The following is a 22,133-nucleotide window of genomic DNA, read 5'->3' on the forward strand; positions in this document are numbered from 1 at the left end:
TAGCTCTCCTCTTCCCTTCCTCACCCGCAGTGCACACATCCACATCGACCTGATAAGAAAATGAAAGCTAACAAATCTTACTGATCTGACACTCTGTCAGAAAAAAAGCTTTCTTACTAACAGCATTCTGCTACAAACCCACAAACATAATCTATAGCATTTGTAGTGGTGGCTGAGAAACCCAGCAAAGGCCTTCCGATTATTTGAAAATTAATTGTCTATGCCAGGTATGTTTGGGCATTCTCTATTAACCAGAAAATTTAACCAGAATAAATATCTCCAGACATATCATACCATAGATTTTTCTATGTAATGAGCCCAGTACTCTGAATTGTATTTTCATTTTTTAAAAACACTTCATTAATGTGAGAGTTAAAAGTGATATCATATGTTTCTTGTGAGAGTAAAAACTGCTAACATCCTTTATGGAACACAATTTGCTATGTTATACCAACTGCCTTAAGAAAATCTGTTTCTTTTTACTCCATAATTCTACGTCTAGGACTCTACCCTAAGTAAAAAGAAATGCAAACAAACCAGTCTGTACGATGATGTGTAGCAATGCACTCATAAAATGAAGCGTCATGTGTGGTAGGGAGAACAAATATCCAGTATTAATTTAGTATTAAAGTATGATATATCTATCTTTATATCAGTAACTACAAATAAAACACAATCACTAAACATGGTCTTTTTAAAAAAAATTGTGTGGAAAAAAACTTCTACAGTGTAAGTTTTATGTTTTATGTAAAAAGAAATGCAAAATGTGGGATTTTTTTTCACCTAACATTCAACTGTAGGTTTGTACATGATTAGATAGAGTGTGTCCATGTGTCTTCATAACTCTCCAAATTTATCAGTGGACATTTGGGTTATGAGATTATGGTCTCTTTTAGTTTTTTTAACTATGCCTGTGTATTTTTTTTATAATAACCATTTACTCAAGACCAGCCATGAATCAGGCAGTTTGTAAAGGGCTTTCACATTCAGTATCTCTTAATCCTTGCGGCAATCTTTCCTCATTATTTCTGTCTTGTAACTAGGCATCATTGTCACTATCATCTGCATCTCTATCAGCATTGGAGATAACCTTTATCAGACTCTTTATATGGAGGGCATTAATCTAAGTACCTCACATGGATTAACTAATTTAATCTTCGTAAGGTACCTCTTGAGGTGATTTTTATTATTGGGTTCATTTTACTGATGAGGGAACTATAAACATAGAGGCACATATATACAGAGCCCAGCATTTGAACTGGGGTTCAGAGATGTTGCCTTTCCGAAAGTCACAACACTGGTACATGGCTGAACCAGGACTCTAGCCTGAATTGGTCATCTGGCATGTCTCCGATGCTACAGTAACTAGTGCCCTGCTATCAGGCAGACTAAGAGCCAGCCATCTGTGCCTGACTACCATCTCTGGCAGATTCAGATAACTACACCAGGTCAGACAGGGCCTTGGACCACCGATGCCTGAGATCCCTAAGGTCCCTGACTCTCCTGGCATTTGATGACTTCATTATTCTAGACTTATTTGGACTAGGCATGTTTTTATTTCTAGTCATTTATTTCTAGTTGTCTTTTTACCAAAGATTTGCCAGAAACACAAACAGAATTCTAAGATTAGGATAAAAGGAACCAATCTCATGTTGGGGATGGGCAGTAGTGTGTGTATATTATGGGAGTGACAGAAAATGCACAAAAATGCTAGTCTCAGTTGACCTGAAAGTGAGGAGGTGTCTGGGGAACCCCACTCCAAATGCAAGTTCTGATCTGCATATAGATGCATTTGCTGATAAAGATCAGAGGTTCAGTTTCCATAAGCTGCACGTTCCATTCAGACACTATCTGTCACAGCCCATTTGAGGTGCCATCTCCAGAATGACCAGAATAGTTAGTTGTTCAGGACTGGGAGGAGTCACTTATTAACTGGTAATTAACATATCAAATAGCAACTACTTTCTAAAATAGTATGTTTGATTAGTAGGGATAACTGGCAAAGAACTGAAATCCTAACGTGGTTATAGTTGTTGCAGACATGCCCTATCGCTTGGAAGGAACAATATAAAAACACTCCTATTTATAAACAGAGTATGACATTGTGATGTAACATATATCGGTATTCAGATATTTACTAGAGGACAATGTATTCTAACATGACAGGGTAATTGGAAATTTGGTAATATGTTCCAGTAGGCTATAAAACTTTTTTAAAAAATATTTTTACAAAAGGCCTTAATGTGTTTTTACAGACTTATGTTATATGGTATGGTACATAGTAAGAGAAAAGGACCCAGACAGGCTTGTCTGAGTTACGATCAGGAAAATCCCGATATCGCCAGTGAATGTAAGCTCGGCATTGTGTCACAGTTGAAGTGTCTCATTACCAGAACAGTGAGCTGTATTATGTGACACAATCTGCTCTTTTCCTACCATGCTAAGTTTATTCCTGTCAGGTTCCTGATTTCTTAATATATTTTCAATTTTCTCCCTCATCCCTAAAGTCTCCTATTTTATGTAGTCGTCAGAACCTTCCAAACATCTATGAGAAAAACTCATTCTTTCCAAAAACCTTGGCATTATGTCCAGTGCTCACTTGGGCTGCAATTTAGCATTAGCAATTTTCTAATGTATCATAAAGTAATCAGATGGAGCTCGCCTCTGATGTAATAGGGCTGAAAGAGACAGGCCTATTTCAGCTCTCCTCACATTGATGGCAGCAGTCACACTCCTTAGAATGCATTGGCATGTTCAGGGACGCGTAGTAATTCAGCCACCTAGGAGTCTTACTCAAACACACAACCTTGCTTATCTTATCATGAGCACTTCAGATGCATTCATCCAACTAAGAGAATAAACTCCTAATGGCCTTTGGGAATCTATGACAGCAACGTTTATTCTCACTGTGCCCCAATTCTGGGGGTGCTAAAAATGATCTAAAGGATACCGAGTGTTTATTTCCTCAAACATTTTTGAACTTTCCAGTAAAAATCCTTTCCTATCTTATCCTACCTGAACATCATCGTGCTTCTATTCACAATGCCTCACCAACATTTAACGAGTCTGCTCTGTGCCCCAGATGGTGCTTTGTTTTCTTAAACCTCAGACAAACTAAAAAGAGACTTAAAAACTCTGTAATCCCAGTACTTTGGGAGGCCAAGGCGGGTGGATCACCTGAGGTAAGAGTTCAAGACCAGTCTGGCCAACATGGTGAAACCCTGTCTCTACTAAAAATACAAAAATTAGCCAGGTGTGGTGGCACACACCTGTGGTCCCCAGCTACTAGGGAGGCTGAGGCAGGAGAATTGCTTGAACTCAGGAGGCGGAGGTTGCAGTGAGCTAAGATCGCACCACTGCACTCCAGCCTAGGCAACAGAATGAGACTCCGTCTCAAAACAAAAACAAAAACAAAAACCTCACTTTATAGGCCAGGCCAACAGTGGCTCATGCCTGTAGTCCTAGCACTTTGGGAAGCCAAGGCAGGTGGATCACTTGAGGCCAGAAGTTCGAGACCAGCCTGGCCAGCATGGTGAAACCCTGTCTCTACTTAAGCTACAAAAATTAACCAGGCCTGCTGGCACACACCTGTAGTCCTAGCTACTTGGGAGGCTGAGGAGGGAGAATCACTTGAACCTGGGAGGCAAAGGTTGCAGTGAGCCAAGATTGTGCCACTGCACCCCAGCGTGGGTGACAGAGCAAGACTCTTTCTCAGAAAAAAAGAAAAAGAAAAAGAAAAACCTCACTTTACAAAGAAAAAATTTGAGGCAAAGAGAAATTAAGTCATGGTTCTTGACCACAAGGAACAAAGACTCTACAAAAGGTACCTGTGCCAATTCCCTGTCTCCAGCATTGACCACAATTAAGCCACACCACACAAACTCCAACCAAGCTTCTGACCTTCCTTCCCAAGAGAAAAGAGAAAAATAAAAAGCATGTCCATGGTATATGAAATGAGCAATATATTGAGGGTCAGGAGATATTATTGCCCTGGCTGTGCCACTAACAAGCTGAGTCATATACAACTGGATTGGTTATATCAGCCCTGGTATCCTGAAAAGTAAAATAAAGACAGGTCCATGGGGGAGGGTGGAAAGGAAGAAGGATCAGAAAATCTCTGAGGCCCCTTTCTTCATAGGTAATCAGCTGATAGGGTAAGAAATGGTGTTTCCGTCATGAATTCCCTTCCTTTTAAGTTATATTTACAGAATGCCTATCATGTAATAGGCATTGTGCCAGACACCTAAGATATCTCTCATTTAATGCTCGCAAATATCCTGCAAAGTAGATACTATCCTCATTTTTCATGTTAGGGAGTAGAGGCCCTGTTGGTATAAGTAACTTGCCTGCAGACACTGAGCTAGGAATTGTAGGAGTCAGGATTCACACCTGTGTTTACCTGACTTCAGAACCTATGGTCCTCCTAACTGTGCTATATGCCTGGGCCTTGGATGAACCACTATGGAATGCTTTTATATAACTTTAACTGTCATGACATCTAATTAAGTTTCTGAATGAAAGAGACCCCGTATTTTAAAATAAATCTGTGGGGGAAGGAGTTTGAAACTTGTTCAACTAGAATTTAAGCCCAAGATACACTCATGAACTAACTGGCTTTTCTGGGGAAGAATGACTAGCAATTTTAGAGAAAGCATCTCAACTAAGAAAGACATTAAGTTGTTGCTTTCTGTTTTTTCCTCCAGAAAGGAAAACTGGAGGAAAGAAAATAGAAGGAAGAAGGGATGGACTCTGAAATGACTGACCTGCTGAAAAAAAAAACAAAAAAACAAGAGTTGGAGACAGCAGAATTACAATCTTGACATTAGTCCCATATGGGTTATTACTCTTGATATCATTATAGCTAAACGGAATGAAAATAGAAGGGGGAGAAAAATCTCAGTGGGTATTGCAATTTAAATTTGCCTTGTAAGCTAATACTGTATATTTAGAGACTGAGCAGACAGGGTGGTTGGTGGCTCAGAGTATGTGCAGGGGCTGCTGTGCCAGCTCACCAAAGCAGACATTCATTAGAGCAAAATGTAGATTTCCATTTCTTGGCATCTGACATGGGCTCTTTCCTTGGAAAGAAATGTCAATTTGGCCAAAAGTGTGAAACCTACAATAAAAGCACTGGGACTGTGGATTTCATCTAGTCTGCACATTCCCACCCCTTTCTTTCCTACTGTGAAAATCCAGTTGAGACTCGGGGTGCTCAGTGGAGAGATGGCAGAGGAACTGGTTAGGATGTAGAAGGCTAAAAGGGGAGAAGGGGTTGGAAGAGGTTAGATTGGACTCCCAAATTCCTGTTTTCTTTTGGCTTTCAATTACCATTTTCTCTTGCCCTAAGACTGCCCGACACAAGAAACCAACCACAATTACTGTTTTGCACAGAGCTCTGAACAATGGCAGCTTCCAAATCCTTGGCATCGCCTGCTTGCTCTGCATGTGCGGGGTGCTCATCCGCAGAGACTGTGGGTAGTATGAGCAAAACTCCGGCTCCTGACGCAGGGCAAGGAAGAGGCCTCCCCTGTTTTAAAATTTCACTATGTTTATTTCTTTTGTTCAATAGACTGGAAAGACTATGACGACAGAGAGCCCAGACACAAGGGACAGAGTGAAGTTTTGGAAGGTCTGCTGCAGCAGGTCCGAGCCCTTCATCAGCATTACAGTTGCCGGGGTAAGGATAAAAATCTGTGCTGGGCCATCAACTGAGGTCTCGGTGGCGCCGGTAATTTTAGCAGTTTCCTAACTGGGTCATACCTTCTCATTCATCAGGGAGAGAGATATTAATATTTGTACATCTGGAATCACTTTACAGCACTATCTTGCTTTAACCCTTCAGAAGAGACTTCCCTCTCCTTCGCTCACTTCCTTTCCCTCTCCCTCTCTCCATATGAACGGTTTGAAAACAAGCACAAGAAAAACAGCAGCTGCCATGAGTTCCCTTCTCTCGGAATTGTCCCTTCACAAGAGTCCTCAACGGGGCTAGCTCTTTGGGATATTCACCCAAAAACATTTTGCCTCCAAGGAAAATCCCCTGAGTATCCCTGCAGGAGCCCAGCCAATTATAATAACAACAGTAATAATAAACCTCCATATTTATTAATAATATAGTTTACAATGCAGTTTCACACCCAGTATCTCATTTTCATCCTCATTTTGGTAATTACCACTGAGGCTAAGTGGTGTTCCCCAAGGTCACAATGCCAGGAAAAGACAGAATCAGGACTCCAAGCTGGATTCTTCTGGTTCTAAGTCTAGTCCTCCTGACACGCTTCATTTTTGTCCCATTCCCTTACATCAGGACTGGGCACTGAACTGTAACCTCATCCTGAATTTTAATCTTCCTCTGTACCACTGCTCACAGGAAAGTAGAGCACATATTCCCTAGACTTTCACCAGCTACACCCAGAGAATCTCTGAGAAGGCTTTAAAAGCTTCTTTTCTACTTGGGCTGTTCAATTGGGACAGGGTCAGATTTCTGATCTGTGTAACGATTCGTGGAAGAGGTACTTAGTTTTATTTGGAGAATTAAAGCCTACATGAAGTTTTCATTTTCCATGCCCCCATCAGATCTCTAACTCCATTGTGCGCTGTAGATTTAGGACACTGCTGGAACAGCTGGGTAAGAAATCCACTATTGTGGAGGATCTCTTGAGCCCAGGAGTTTGAGGCTGCAGTGAGTTACGATCATGCCACTGTGCTCCAACCTGGGCAACAGGGCAAGACTCTGTCTCTAAAAATAGCAAATTTTTTAAAAGAAAAAAAAAATCCACAGTTGAAACTAAGAGATACTCACTGAGTTTGAGCTTGCTATAGATAAGTCATACTGAGCATTAGCAAAAGGTTGTTCCCAATTACTACATAGCTATCACAGTAGGACCCTTCAGCAATGTTGGCTCTAGCTAGAAATGAGGACAAGTGTTTGGAAGAAAATAATATTCTTCTAATGACCAGTTCATTAGGATATGTAAATATGCATGCAGTAGCTCTGAAACCCAAGTGGGATTTCCATTCCCAGATCTCTAAGAAGTCTTTACCCAGACCAGGACCTTCAGCATATTCCACACTGACCAAAGTCTAGTCAGTTCTCGGTTATTGAGGGCTCATTTAACCAGGCCAGTTGTTACCAAAGCTCCTTTCTCATCTTCTGCCTTTCCATCACATCCCTGCCCATTGGTTCCTGTGTGACAGCAAAGGTAACAAAGCAAGTGGACAGATGATTCTTGGAAATTCATAAGCCACTGTGTGTTTGGTCTTGATCAGAGGGGGAAAAGCTGAAACTACTCATGAGAATGAGAGATTTTTTTAATATTATCTGAGGATTCATGCTCTCCCCATTACCACTGGATTCCTATCTAATAATCAAAAAATGATTGCCTAGATGGTCCAATTGTTTCTATAGTTTCCATCCAACTTCTGTCATGTATATGCTTTTCCCCCAGAGGAATGTAAATATACACACAATATCAGGAAAGATTTAAGTAAGGCATAAGGTAGAACTTTCCAAAAAAGAAGAATATATTTTATATGAAATATACTCTGGACACTTAAACAGTGCTCAAAGTATGTTCCAAAGATCAGTGATCCAATAATATGCTCAGCTGAAAAAGGTTCTCTTGTCATGTAAGTTTTGGAAATGTTGAATTCTACATCTTCTCTTAGAAATTTAAAATATACTTTAGAATATTAAAGACTCTAATAAACAGACATGTCACATTTGCTTAAACAAGCATTTTCCAAACTTCTTTAGCCATGTACAACTTTTTCACAGTATTAGTATTCCAAAGCACAAATTTTGGGAAATGCTAACTCATAATATGCCAAAATAAATTACCTCATACACACACAAAAAGAATGAATCTAAGATGATTTAACATAACCCTTAATGCAGAAGGATAAATGAAGAATAAGTATTGCTTACAGAGAATTACAAATTTTTTTTATTATTATTACAAAATTTTTATTTAAAATATTCAAATACATTGAAATACTATGTGGTTTATTGGGGACATAAACTTTTACCAACTTTACAATTAGAAAAAGTAATATTTCAGATTCCAATTCTACCACTTACAAGCTGTGTATTATTGGGAAGAGGATTTCGCCTCTCTGATCCACAGTTTCTTGATCAGCAAAGTCAGGATAATATTACCTATCTTGCAGGATTGCTATGAAGAGTAAATTAGGTGCATTAAATTCACCTGACACAGTGTCTTTCCCTGGCAAACTGTAACTTATTTTTCTCCCATTGAGAAAGGGGCCACTCTCCATCCTCAGCACTTTATGCATATTCCATAGAATTGAAGTGTAATTGGTGACTGTACTGTAATGACCGTGTAATGACTCACTAACTATACAACATATTCCAAATATGGGAGTAATAATAAAAATCACTTCTCCTACTAAAATCCTAAATAGGAGGTACCAACATCTACATTAATTTCTGCATTTTGGCTAAAGAACTGGCCAAAGCTGATCTGCATGCTTAGTATTGGGATGAAAATTCAAGGGAGATGTTAAGCAAGCTTCATTGTTCACAAGGTGGGTACACTGATGTACATAATGAATTACAATATTAAAACAACAATCGTGTTCATCATAGCAATATCCTATAGGGATGAATTTATATTATTATCCAATTATTCAACTTGCAATACAATAGTAACTGAAACCCTGCCTACTATGTAATTTGTAGGTCACATAGTAGGGGCTAGACATGCCAACATGAATGAAGTAAACTCCTATGCTCCTTACAAGTTAGGGAACTACTGCATTCAGAGTACAGAAAATGAACTGTTGCTTCAGAACTCCAAACCAAGTAGGGAAGTACAGTATAGAAGCCACAAGGTTCTTAGGAGAAAAGTTAGTTTAGACTGATGTGTCAGTCAAGGTGAACCTTACTATGTTACAGTAACCAAATGATTCCCCAAACCTTTATCTCTCCCTCATGCTATGCGTTTACCACTGATCAGCTGGGAGTTCTCCTTCTGTGTTATTAACATCCTCTCTCTGGAAATATTTGCTAGCAACCATAGGAGAGGGAAAAATAACTCTTGAAGGTCTCATATGGGCAAGACTTTCTGCATGTTATTACACCCAAAACTCATTGGCCAGAGGTGGTCACATGGCCCCATCCAACCACAAGGGCTCCAAAGTACAGTTTTACCATGTGACCAGACCTAGAATATTTAATGCTTGCATGTGCCCTTTTCCCAACTGGTAGCAGTACTTCTTAATTTTCTCTTTTTATTTTTAGTCTGACTTTTTTAGTTTAATCTTCATTTTTATGTGAGCTATATATAACTATAATGTGTCTCTGAAGCCAGACTGCCTGAGTTCAAATCTGGGCTGTACTTTTACTTCTGCTGGCTGTGTGACCTTGAGCAAACTGCCTAAATGGCTCTGTGCTTCATTTCTCTCGTCTCTAAAATGCAGATAATAATTATATATACCTCATTCATTCATTGTTTAAGGATTGAATAACTTCAGTAAAGCAGTTAAAACAGTTTTATTATTTTCTTAAAAGCAATTTCTTCCTTCTTCCATTTTTTTCCTCCCCAAAGATAACCTCTTAACCTTTAGCTAATTATTTTAGTATTTTCCCCATATCTCTAAGTAACGTGCTCATATTTCTAATAATGTTTTTCGATTTTAGTCATTACCTCACTAAAGAAAGTAATGATGTATCTCTTTTTACCCCACCCCTCCCTTATTTGCGTGCATAGTTCCTATCTTCTCAATCTCTTAATATATGTATATTGAATTTTAGTAAGATCAGTATTTACTGTTTACATTATAATGATAAATTATATGATTATTTTCCTTTCCTGGATAACTTTTTGTTTTCCCTGTAGTTAATAATCATTTATTGTGCATTTGCTTGTTTTTCTATATGGCTATAATAATTAATCCCCAAACTATTCTTGAATTAAATCAGTCTTCTCTCAATATAATCAGATGCTTTAGATGTTTCTATTGCATCTTCTTAAGGAAACATTCATGGAGTCCTCTGTCCTGCTCCAGTCTAGACTGGTCACTTGTTGCCCAGTGTACAACTGTCACCCTTGGATTGCCTTTTACTACCATATTGAGGACTCTTCTTATCGCTCTCCAATATTGGGTTCCTTCTTTCTGTATTGCATGGTGGAGCTTTCCCCCTCACAGCATCCTGAAAGGGGGCTTGGGAACTAATTTTCAGAGAAATTGTATATCTAAAGGTGTATTTATTCTACTTAACATTTATTCAAGGTTTTGGATGAGTATAGAATTCTTGGTTGAAATCCTTTTTTTTTTTCATATTTTGAAGGTATTGTTTCATTGTTTTCCAGCTTTCAGGACTAAGTCTGATGTCATTCTAATTCCAGAGGTTCTATATGAAACCTTTTTTTCCCCTCTCTGGAAGGTTTTAAGTTTTCTTTTGACTCCAATGTTCTAAAATTTCACAGTGATGTACTAAGGCATCTGTTGTCTGTTATATTGGGCACCTGGAAAGTCCTTTCAACATGAGAAGTTATACCCTTCAATTGTGAGACATTTTCTTAAATTACTTCTTTAAGTATTTCTTTGCCTTCTTTTCCTCTCCTCTATCTTACTAGAACTCTTGTTATTCAGATTTTGGTTCTCCCACATTCGTCCTTCAATTTTATTTTCTTTTTTTCTTCTACTTTCCATCCTTACATCCTTTTGCCTTACTTTCTTGGAGATTTCATCAGCTTTAATTGCTAAGCCTTCTATTCGGTTTCTTAGCTTTTGACAACATGTTTTTAATTGCCAATGCTCTCTTTTGTCCTCTGGTTATTTTTATAGACTCTTACTCTCTTTATAAGGGATGCAAGTCTTCTCTTACTTCTCAGAATATTAATGATAGGCTTTGTTTCATTTTATATTTTCTTTCCTCAGAATAATCTTTCTTTTCTGTAAGTTGGTCTTTGGTTTACTAATTTTTGGCCTTTGTATTTCATGTTAGATGCTTTTCTCAACTGCCTGTTGATCCTTCAATGAATGCTCAGATTTCAGAGAAGGGAAATCAATAGCCATTGGGAAGTTCTGAGCACATGCGTAGGGCTCTTTACTTACAGGATTCATTGTAGGGTGACCTGGCACCACCTTTCCATTGAGATATCCCCAATGTCAGAATCTTTGGGTACGTTCTCTTAGGCTGGTCAAATTTTCCACAGAAATTTCTTCCAGTGTCCTGCTTGGAAGGTATAAGTTTGGATACCAGTGTTCTGAGAACCCAATAGGGAAATATTATGTATAAAAGCTTATGCACAAATCTGCCCATTTGGGGTACACTGCCACCATCATCAGCACCCCATTTTCAACACTACCTGATGTCTCCCACTCCGGAGATGTATGTTGTTGTTGTTTTGGGTGTTCGTTTGTCTGTTGATTTCCAGAGAACAAGCCACTAGCTTTCTTCTAGAGTAGGGAAGAGGTATCTGTCCAGTCATGTAGTAGAGGAGGAGATCTAGAAGTCTAACTACTTTTTGAACAGGCTTTCACAAATCCTCCTTGTTTTTAGCTCACACTCACCCCTCACTTCCAGCAGTCCATGGAGACCATGGAGTGAATCAGATCACTTCTGAACTTTCTCCACTGCTGTCTTTGACTTCATCCATCTCAAGTCTTAAATCTTTCTATCCATCTGCTTTCCAGCTACTGAGATTTGCTTACTTTTGTCTCCTTTCCCATCTCTTTGTCTTTAAAAATTTATGTTGTTTCCTTCTTTTCTTAATTTCTACTCTGCTTTTAGTGAGGTTTGGGGAAAGGGTAGTATGTAATGAATATGTTCACTCTTCCATATTTAACTGGAAGTCCCAGCAGCATTATTTCCAAGCAGCCAAACTCATGTTCAAGTCAGAAAAAAGAATGATTTTGCTTTGTTCTGCAAGGAATAACCATTACCAACGTAAGCTTGAAACTGGCATGAATGCTTGTGTCAGTCAGCTGTTCCTATATAATCATAGCCAAAGACACACTGGCCCTCAGTCATGGGCCACCTGTCCAGGTTTCTATGCCTAACAGCAGTCATATGGACCATATTCTCATCTCCAGTGACATGTCTGTCAGCAGTCTGGTGGTGATACCAACAACCTCATTTTCCCTTCATTGCATAGAATATGAGAGTTAAAATCAGTGATTATGTAGCCCAGCTCCATGCAATATTATTTGCAAAGGCTGTTATAGGAAGTATAGGAAGCCTACTACCTTTATTAGGGCAAGCTCCATGTTATAAGCAGAAGACCTGAACAGAAGCAATGAATTATTTGCTTACCATTGTACCTGCAGAGCCTGATGCATAGTAGTGCCCCCAATAAATATTTGTCCAATTAATGAATGTCTGTTTTCCCAGGCACTGACTTTTTGAGCAATTCTTTTCACTTCTCAGCCTCAGTTTCTTCTTCTGAATAATGAGGATGATAATCATACCCATCCCTACACCCATTTTTGTAAACCAACATACACAATGAAGAAAAAAACTGTTCCAGAATGCTGGCAGTGGTTATACAGAAGTGACGAGATGATATGGGTGGGGTTTTGCTCTTTTTTTTCTATTCTCCAGACTTTCTGTAATGTGCTTACATTAATTTTATAATGAAAAAAATTAACACAATACGTAGACTTACAGGGAATGCTTTACCAACATTGAGAATTGTATGAATGTTAGAAGGCAATTGCGGGAGTTGGGAGAAGGGCAAAGGAGTTGATTCCATGTCTTTTTATCCTACCTTAAAATAAATCAAAAATTTCAAAGCAGAGAGTATCAACAGAACACCTACGTGGTCTCCTCTGCAGTTATAAAGACTACTTATCTCCAGCATTTTTGAGGAGTTGTTCATTGAGTTAACCACTGGCATCTCAAGATACCAGAGCTTCTTTTTTTCTCTTTTTTTTTTTTTTTTTTTTGATACGGATTCTCGCTCTGTCGCCCAGGCTGGAGAGCACGATCTCGGCTCACTACAACCTCTGCCTCCCGGGTTCAAGCGATTATCCTGCCTCAGCCTCCTGAGTAGCTGTGACTACAGACGTGCGCCACCACACCCTGCTAATTTTTGTATTTTTAGTAGAGACAGGGTTTCACCATGTTGGTCAGGCTGGTCTTGAACTCCTGACCTCGTGATCCGCCCCCCTCGGCCTCCCAAAGTACTGGGATTACCAGCGAGAGCCACCGTGCCCGGCTACAAGAGCTTCTTATAGGCATGAATGAGCAGAATCCCTACATGAACCTGAGGATAAGTGACACTAAAGGGATGGGGGAGGGGAAGGCAGGAAGGTAGGAAAATGGAATTGGGGGTGTTGATCTGCCCAGTGGAATTTATACTGTATTTTTTAAAATACATTCCAGAAAGCACAAAATTACAAACCACAGGCCGCAAGCAGTCAGTCTCAAGAAGCCTGAAACACCTGTTCCATTCCTCGAACAAGTTTGTGAAGACCTTAAAACGGTGGGTTCTATGTAGTTTTTTCAGGAAATCTTAACTTTTCAAGAATGCACTGGTTTTGGTTCTGAGTAGAAACTTGGTAGAAATTTTTTTGTGTTCAAAACAATAAAATTCACTTTTCTCCTGAGAATTTGTGTAAGACAGTAATTTTCTCTCTTTTGAGTTGTAACTAGTGAACTTATGATACTTAGCAGGAATACGTTCCTAGGTATATTTTAAATTCATCTTTTATCACATCCAAAAAAATATTTTTCCAAGATGGTTGAGGACAATGCTTTTATTTTCCTTTTTCTTTTTAGGGGACTCTACATAGCCGTTATATTTTATTACAAAGACAATATCTTAGTCACCAATGAAGATCAAGTACCAATTGTTGAAATAGATGACTCTCACACCAGTTCTATTACACAAGATTTTCTGTGGTTCACGAAGGTATACTAAGTTCTGATTTCATTTTTCCCTACTTTGTACCAATGTTACTGCACAAAAATCTCTGAAACATTAGTTGAGGGGTCTCCAGCGATCAGAGTTTTGGGGTAGAAATAAAGTATCTCCAAGGTCCTTTTCAGCCCTGGTATGCCCTATGTCATTTTAAAAAGCACCAAAGTAACGTGTGCGCTACATTTTCAAAGCAAAGAGACTTGCATCCTGTCACAATGTGTCTCCACTGTTCTGAGTTATGGGATCATTTGGCAAAGACTAAAATGTGGATCTGACCGTTTCATTAACATTCAGATCTTTTTCCAATTGGACAGAGATCAAAAAGTTGTTTCGTGTGTGTCTGAAAATGGACTGGAGAATAAACATCAGGGGTCAGATTTCTTTCTCCCTGCTTTGCTTTGATGCCACAACCTAAATCATGTACTGGCTTGGACGATGACATGATTGCATGCCTTCTTTTGCAGCTGTCTTGTATGTGGGAAGATATAAGGTGGCTGAGGCAAAGCATACCAATATCCTCATCCTCATCCACAGTGCTGCAAACTCGGCAGAAGATGCTCGCAGCAACAGCACAGCTACAGGTAAGGGACCAGGTTTCAACCCAGGCCCCCAAGGAAAATATTTTTAATGTAGAAAATTCAGTTACCAGTCCTACCTAGAAAGGAAAAGGATGGGCTCCCTTCTCTTTCAGACCCCTAAGAATATGAAGTTTTCTTGAGCAGCTGGAGCTGCGTACCTGTAGGTATGCAGGTTTCATATAGGAAACCTGTACCTTTAGCAGTCTCCTCCAAGTGAGTCTCTCTTGAACAGTATATAGGAGTAACTCATTAAACAAGGAGTAAGGAGACTTGAGTTCTAGATTTGATATTAGTCAGCCGACTCAGTTCTCCTCTCTGGGCCCCAGTTTCATCACTTGCAAAATAAGAGAAGTTTAATGAGATCTCTTGAAGGACTGTTGCTGCTCTGCCGTCCTATGCATTAATGAGTATATGAAGATGGAAAAAAGAGACGAGCAGATATTTTGAACAGTTTCTTGGTGTGATGATTTTGGTAAAGCATAGACATTTTTGCTTACTTATAAAAAAAAAACAAATAGAGAACAACGCTTAAAAGATTATCTTTAAGCCTGAATTGATTTATCCTTCCATATTCTCAGTCACATCAGATCAAGTCCCCAATCTTTGTAGGTTACAGAGCTCCTCCTAGAAGTAGCATTAAATTCTAACCAAGATTTTCTGGGTTTTCCTCTTACTGTTTTCTGGTATTAAGTGAATTTGTGAATCTTAGCACAGAAAAAAAAATATCTGCTACATGGGATTGGAGCCATTAAGAGATCGCTGAGCCTTTATCAGTAACGGGTATCTACCTACAAATCTGCAGTTACATCAACCCCAGAAATATGCATAACAGGAATCTATGTAAGCTGTGTTTGGCCAGGCCATGTAGGTCACAGCATAAAAATAAAGTCACAATAACAAAAAAAAATTTCTATGGCTTTGCCCCCCACCTACAATTATAGGAATGTCATTTCTTAAACCCTCACAATAATAATAATTCAACTTCCTGCAATATTTTGTTGCTATTACAATTAATTCAGAAATGCAAATTTTGCTCCTCTGTGATATATTCCATTACACAGGTAGCTTGCTGTTTTGTATGCTCAGTGAGATTTTAGCAAACAGCTGTTCATTTCAACTCACTCGGGTTTTTTTTGGGTTGGTGGTGGTGGTGGAATGGAATCTCTCTCTGTCTCCCAGGCTGGAGTTCAGTGCCGTGATCTTGGCTCACTGCAACCTCTGCCTCCTGGGTTGAAGCAATTCTCCTGCCTCAGCCTCCTGAGTAGCTAGGATCACAGGCACCCACTACCACACCCGGCTAATTTTTGTATTTTTACCAGAGACAGGGTTTTACCGTGTAGGCCAGGCTGGTCTCGAACTCCTGACCTCAAGTGATCCACCTGCCTCGGCCTCCCAAAGTGCTGGGAGTACAGGCATGAGCCACCGTGCCTGGCCTCAACTCACTCTTGATTGCATAATCTTCTCTTCCAACTCAAGAAGCAGTTCTTGGAGCGGGCCATGATGACTGTGCTGAATTCAAAGTGCCTCGTCCTTTCATCACTGACCCACTTGAGTTGGACCATGCCACTGCACCTCACACTACTCTTTCTTTAGGATAAATACATTCCTAAGAGGCTCAGACTCCTTAGTGGATCCTCCCATCATCCTACCATACAGCCCAGACATGCCTGGATCACAGACTGAAAAACCTTAGAATTTCAAGGGGGGCTCTTTATTATGTGTTTATTGGAGGTTTCTTAGAACTTTCATCTGATATCAGCAATGTGAGAAGGATCAGGCTGTTACAAGTCAGTGCAGTCAGACGCTGAGTGATGCAATGATGGCCAGTGTGACCCTACTCAACTACTCCCATTACAATACTTTTGGACTTCCTCAGCTTCCAAATCTATAGACCTCACCACTTTTCATAATGCATCAGCCCACTTCTGAAGTCATTTCCTTCCTTGACCAGCTTAGATTCCTTAGCCCATCTTAATCACTTCCTTGAAAATATTCCATTTTCTCCTTCATATTATTTATTTGGAAAAATCCCACGCCTGGATGAATCCAACATGTCTAAAGTAGTTACACATTGCCACATAAAAAAAAAAAATCACAAAAAAGGGCTGACTGGTTTTATGTTAAATTCATGACTACAATTCTCACACGTAATGTTAGTGGTCCAATTTCCTTTCTCTACTAAATTTGCTTTCTCACACTGTAAAGCAACTATTTTAAAACCTTCTCCCCAGCACTTTGGGAGGCTGGCAGGTGGATCACTTGAGCTTAGGAGTTTCAGACCAGCTGAGCAACATGGCAAAACCCCATCTCTACCAAAAATACAAAAATTAGCTGGATGTGGTGGTGCACATCTGCAGTACTGGCTACTCAGGAGTCTGACGTGGGAGGATCACTTAAGCCTGGGAGGCAGAGGTTGCAGTGAGCTGAGATCGTGTCCCTGCACTCCAGCCTGGGTGAAAGAGTAAGACCTTGTCTAAAAATAAAATAAAATAAAATAAAATAAAACCTTCTTCATTCTCCCACATCCCTTCTCCTTCCCCACACTCTCCTTCCCCACACTCTCCTTCACATCTCAGGTGATGATTTCACTGTATAATTCATCAAGGAAAAAAATGGAAATTAATGATTTTTTCTGCCAAATTTATAAACCTCCTTGCACAGACCGAACCTTCTTTTTTTTTTTCTTTTTATTTCAGAAGGTAAAGTCTCACATTTCCTACCATAAGTTCATTCCTCCACATGTGCTCTGGGTCCCATCTCTTCCCTCTCATTTTTATTTTAAAATACTCAAGTCTTTCCAGTTAAATCTCCCCCTAAATTCCTCTCATAGCCCCACATGCCCCTTCAGCTACCAAACTATTCTCTTCCTTACACCCAAACTTCTTGGAAGAGTTACCTACATCCCCTTTCTCCACTGACATCTCCATTTCCTACCAGTTCTCAAACCTCTCTCTGACTTTTGCTACCATGATGCATACAAAACTGCTCTTTAAGGGCACCAGAAACCAGAAGCAGATGATGCTGCCAAAGCTGGAGCTTCAGGACCCCTCACTTGCATGAGCTATGAGTGTGGGACCCCTGTAAGTGTGGAACCCACAGTGTTTTAGGGAAGGGAAGCTGGATTGCAGTCAGGAAGCATTTCTCGCAAACTTTCTAAAGAAATTTCTGGAGGAAAGGGGACCCAAAATTCCAAACAGTCTAGTATTTGCTGGAGAGAAGGAAATTTCTTTTATCCTTCTGGATAAAGATTCACTTTTATACCTAGTCTTATTTTTGAAATTCTGTGTTCTCTGTCTTAAAGAGTGCCTCAAAATTGTATAGTTCAGGCACCCACAAAACCTAGATCTAGTCATGCCAATGACTTTGGTTTCACTAAGCAACATTTTATACACTTGGTTCCATACTCCTTTTGGAGATTGGCATATCCCTTGGCTTCCACAATTTCACACTGTTCCGATTTTCTTCCAACTTGCTGGTCTTTCTCCGTATCCTTTGCTAGTTTTCAAGCTGTTTCCTTTGCTTAGAATCCCCTTCTTTCCTCACTTTGCCTTACTAATTCCTATATATCCTCCAGGTCTCAGCTTAACTTTTATACTTCCTTAAAGAGCCTTTCTCTGATCCCTTGATTAAGTGAATCACTCTCATAGCACCTTGTATTCTTCATTCAGGAAAGTGATCAGAATCCCAGAGTTTATTACTTGTATTATTATCTGTTTAGTGCCCCACTTGGACTGTGAGTTCCTCAGTTCAGGGAATGTGTCTGTCTTGGCTACCACTATATCCCCAATGCCTGGAATGTGGTAGACACTCAGTAAGTACAAGTTGGATAAATAAATATATCTGTCAATCCAAACCCATGTACCCCAGTGATCACACTTGAGGGAAACTTTATCTAGCCAAAGGGAAAAGGGATCACAGAAATGTTTTGTAGTTTTGTAGCATAGTTACCACCTGGATGGATAGCTCTCCGGTCCTGCACCGTGACCGGAGAGCCTCATAGTCTTCAATAAATGGTCACCTTCACAGTGCCCCCATCAAGGCCTGAGTGCTGTATGCATGCCCTTCTCTCTAAGTTTCTTTATGCCTAGTTCAATGATAAAAGTTGCTTTCATCACTTTTTTTGGTAGGACCTATTGCCCAAACTATTTACTAGTCTGTACAGCGAAGATGTCTGGAAATACTGAAGGCACCTTTTGTTGGTGAGGGAGGTAAGAGCGGTGGAAGGGAGGCGTAAGTTATAGAAAAACTTTTCTGAAGGGAAAGAAAAAGAAATTTGAGGATTGACACATAGTTAATATGTTAGATCACTCTACTAATTTAAAATATTTTACAATGTGGCCAGGCGCGGTGGCTCACGCTTGCAATCCCAGCATTTTGGGAGGCCAAGGCGGGCAGATCACCTGTGGTCGGGAGTTCGAGACCAGCCTGACCAACACGGACAAACCCCGTCTCTACTAAAAATACAAAATTAGCTGGGCGTGGTGGCGCATGCCTATAATCCCTGCTGCTCGGGAGGCTAAGGCAGGAGAATCACTTGAACCCAGGAGGCGGAGGTTGTGGTGAGCTGAGATCGCACCATTGCACTCCAGCCTGGGCAACAAGGGTGAAACTCTGTCTCACAAAAAAATAAAATAAAATAACAATGTTCTGAGGAAAGTAAAAATGCATTATACATAGTTTGATTGGCATCAACCATAAATAAATTCTATTGATTTTCCTCTGGTGCATCTCATTTAACTCTCCTCTCCTTTCCAGTTTTGTATACTACTGCCTGATTACTCCAATTTGGTCAAAAGCCTCCAAAGTCATCCCTCTGCTACCAGTCTTGACAGCCTCCAATCCACTTTCCATACTTTGGCCAGAGTAGCCAATCTAAAAGATTCTGACCAAGGCATTCTCTGACTTAGACTCTTCCAGCTGTGGCTCAGACATTTTATCACGGCTCACAAAGGCCTCAATCATGATCTTTCTCCCCCTCATCTGCGCTCATAGTCACTGGGCTTAGTCACTGTGTCCAAGTCAGGGGACCTACCTTTATCACAGTGCATATCAAGCACTGTGCAATTTGCACCTTGTTTTCTGGGTTTCTGCTCTCTAGTGAGCTCCTTTAATATATAATAGTAAATAGTAACCGTGAAGTGACTACTTTCATTTATTTAACAGACTAGGTGCCAGGCACTGTGTTGAGTGCTTTACAAACTTTACTGTCATTTAATCTTTGCCACAACCTAATGAGAAAGTACTATTATGGTATTCTTTTAACAGATCATAACACTAGGGCCTAGAAATGCTCATTTGTGCCCAAGGTTACATAGATAGGAAGTAGCAGATTCTAGATTCAAATCCAGATTTATTTAACTCCAAAGCCTGCTTCCTTTCCAGTACTTCATCATCTTACTGTGTAGTAATTTACAAAAAAAGCAGACAAAATTTTAAAGAGAAAAAATTATTCATATTATAGTAAAAAAGAAAAAGAAGTCTATTCTTAATTAAAATTTCCTAGGCCAGAGGAGAGATAAGTATCTCAGCATGTGGGAAAAAAAATTAAGATGAGAAATCCTGTAAGTGACCAAAAGCCCACATTGTTTTTCTTTCTCTTAGGAAAATGTCAGAGGGCCCAAAGAGGGAGAAGTGTACATTGCTCTTACATTGAAAGGTGTCTAAGCTACTTATCCCCCCAAAACAGTAAAAATCTGACACTGCAGATTGTGCTAAACTTTCCTCCTCCATAGCTTTTAGAAATGAGTGTTAGTGAGTAAGAGCTAAGTAACAATATATGAATACCGTGTTCTTTACATTTGTTAAGGGGAGAAAAGATTTTCCCAAAATTTTGCTCTTCTTTTTCAGGCCTCCTTATCCCAACTCTGGACTTCCTTCACCTTCCCATGTCCACATCACCCCAAACTGAATAAAGACCTCTAAATATTGTGCCTCTGCCTAGGGCTTATTGACAGCCCTGTGATTTGTCCTGGTTATAACCTAGATGCATTCCTGTTAGCCATCAGGTGGCTCTTATAGGATCATCAGGAGCCCTAGATCACCTAACCTTGATTATGACAGGTATTAACATGGTCTATTTTTGCTTTAGGCCCTAAAGAACCTTGAATTCTCCCTCATGGAAGATGGTTCCAATTTATTTTCACAATAATATTCTACTTTTAAATTGGGCTCTCCTCAAAGCTAGCTATCCAACCTAATTTGATGTCAATAAAAAATTTCAAGAAGACTTACAGTGCTTTCTTATTCAACCCCTTAGAAAACCTATCTACAGCTGATAGTGAACCACTGATAATAACTTTGTTTAAGTGAAAAGACCACCGTAGTCAATGTCTACCCATCAGCTTTGGTCCAAAGTGAATCACATTTTCCGGCGTCTTAATGATAATACAATATGTTAATTAAGTCAACGAAAAGTGGCTGAGTCCTTTCCATGGGCAGGCACTGTGCAAGGGACACAGAGACACAAAGATGAAACAACTATGAATTCATAACGTGAACTCATACACCAATACATGCAGTAAAGCCAGAGACATGCTAAGATGGAAGTTTGTAGAGGAAACAGTAAGGGAAAAAAGAGGGATGGTAAAGTCTTCCTTAGAGAGTTGGAAAAGTCTTCCCAGGGGAGGTGAAATCTGGGATGGGTCTTGAAAAGGAGTAGATGTAAGCCTGGGTGGGATTCCAATTAGAGCAGTAAAGAAAGCCCCCACCCTACATTGCATCGAGCTTGAGGGTTTACAAAATACTTTTTCATGAGTTGCTTGATTTAATCCCTCAAACATTCACTGAGGTAAAGATTAGCATAACAGCTGTCTGAGCTGTAAAGACTCTTACTTTTAGATGATGATACTCAGGACCAGAGAGGGTAAATAATTTTTTCAGAAGTCCAACAGTTAATAAATGGTAGCCAACCCTGAAATTCAATACCAAATATAAGTAAAGGTTTAATAGCAATGGTAGGCTGGAGCCAACCTGTACTGGCCCGAGAGAGCCAACTGTTAAATATTCGGGGATTTTGAAAGCCTGTTGTCAAACTCTGGGTAGTTTGAAATCCCACTACAGCAAGAGTATTTACACCACAGAAACCGGCATATGCTACAAATCAGGGCTTTCTTTTCTTTTCTTCCTTTTTTTTCCTTTTTCACTAGCCAGTTTACCAGCATCACACTGCTTATTAGTACCCCACAGGGCTGGACTAAAAGCCACACCCACTTCTCTATGATTTAGAAGTCAAATATTGGAAAGAAAAAATATGACTGAGTGATTAGGCCATCGCAAAAAAATCATAATCTTGCCAAATGAATTTTTATGTCAAAAATTATTTATGAAATTCCTTATTTGTCCTATGTCTGGTCTTTGTAAGGAAGAAGATAAGGTTTCGGCCGCAGTCCCTACCTGTGAGGGAAAATTCCGGGGTTTTCATAGATGTAGATGTTGACTTCCTGGCTCATTCATTTTTAGGTCATCCTTGTCACTTTTACAAATCCCAGTTCTATTTCTGTATTCATGCTAACAGGGCATCTCACCACCTCTTATGTGAGCTCACAAAAGTAACAGCTAGGAGCTCTAGGATGATTTATAATGTTTAGAAATCACAGATATTTAAAGCTAGAGGGGATTTTATCCTATTCATCCAGTGTTCTAGCTTAGAAATCTTCAAACCCTGCAT

General features: G+C 39.7%; 1 protein-coding gene across 16 annotated transcripts in view; it reads left to right on the forward strand.

The window, feature by feature from the left end:
• The window catches only part of ANKFN1 (ankyrin repeat and fibronectin type III domain containing 1), a 470,940-nt gene that overhangs the window by 397,433 nt on the left and 51,374 nt on the right, over positions 1 to 22,133 (forward strand). For 15 of the 16 annotated variants that reach the window (XM_047435502.1, XM_017024263.2, XM_011524430.3 and 12 more), the window contains 4 exons: positions 5,570 to 5,677; positions 13,352 to 13,451; positions 13,748 to 13,880; positions 14,354 to 14,470. In XM_047435502.1, coding sequence (XP_047291458.1) covers positions 5,570 to 5,677; positions 13,352 to 13,451; positions 13,748 to 13,880; positions 14,354 to 14,470 — 458 coding nt within the window. Of the gene's footprint in view, positions 1 to 5,569; positions 5,678 to 8,433; positions 8,545 to 13,351; positions 13,452 to 13,747; positions 13,881 to 14,353; positions 14,471 to 22,133 lie in introns of those variants that run through there. The other variant, XM_011524434.2, reaches the window with a different exon arrangement.

This window comes from Homo sapiens, chromosome 17, assembly GCF_000001405.40.
Source record: "Homo sapiens chromosome 17, GRCh38.p14 Primary Assembly".
Classification (NCBI taxonomy): domain Eukaryota; kingdom Metazoa; phylum Chordata; class Mammalia; order Primates; family Hominidae; genus Homo; species Homo sapiens.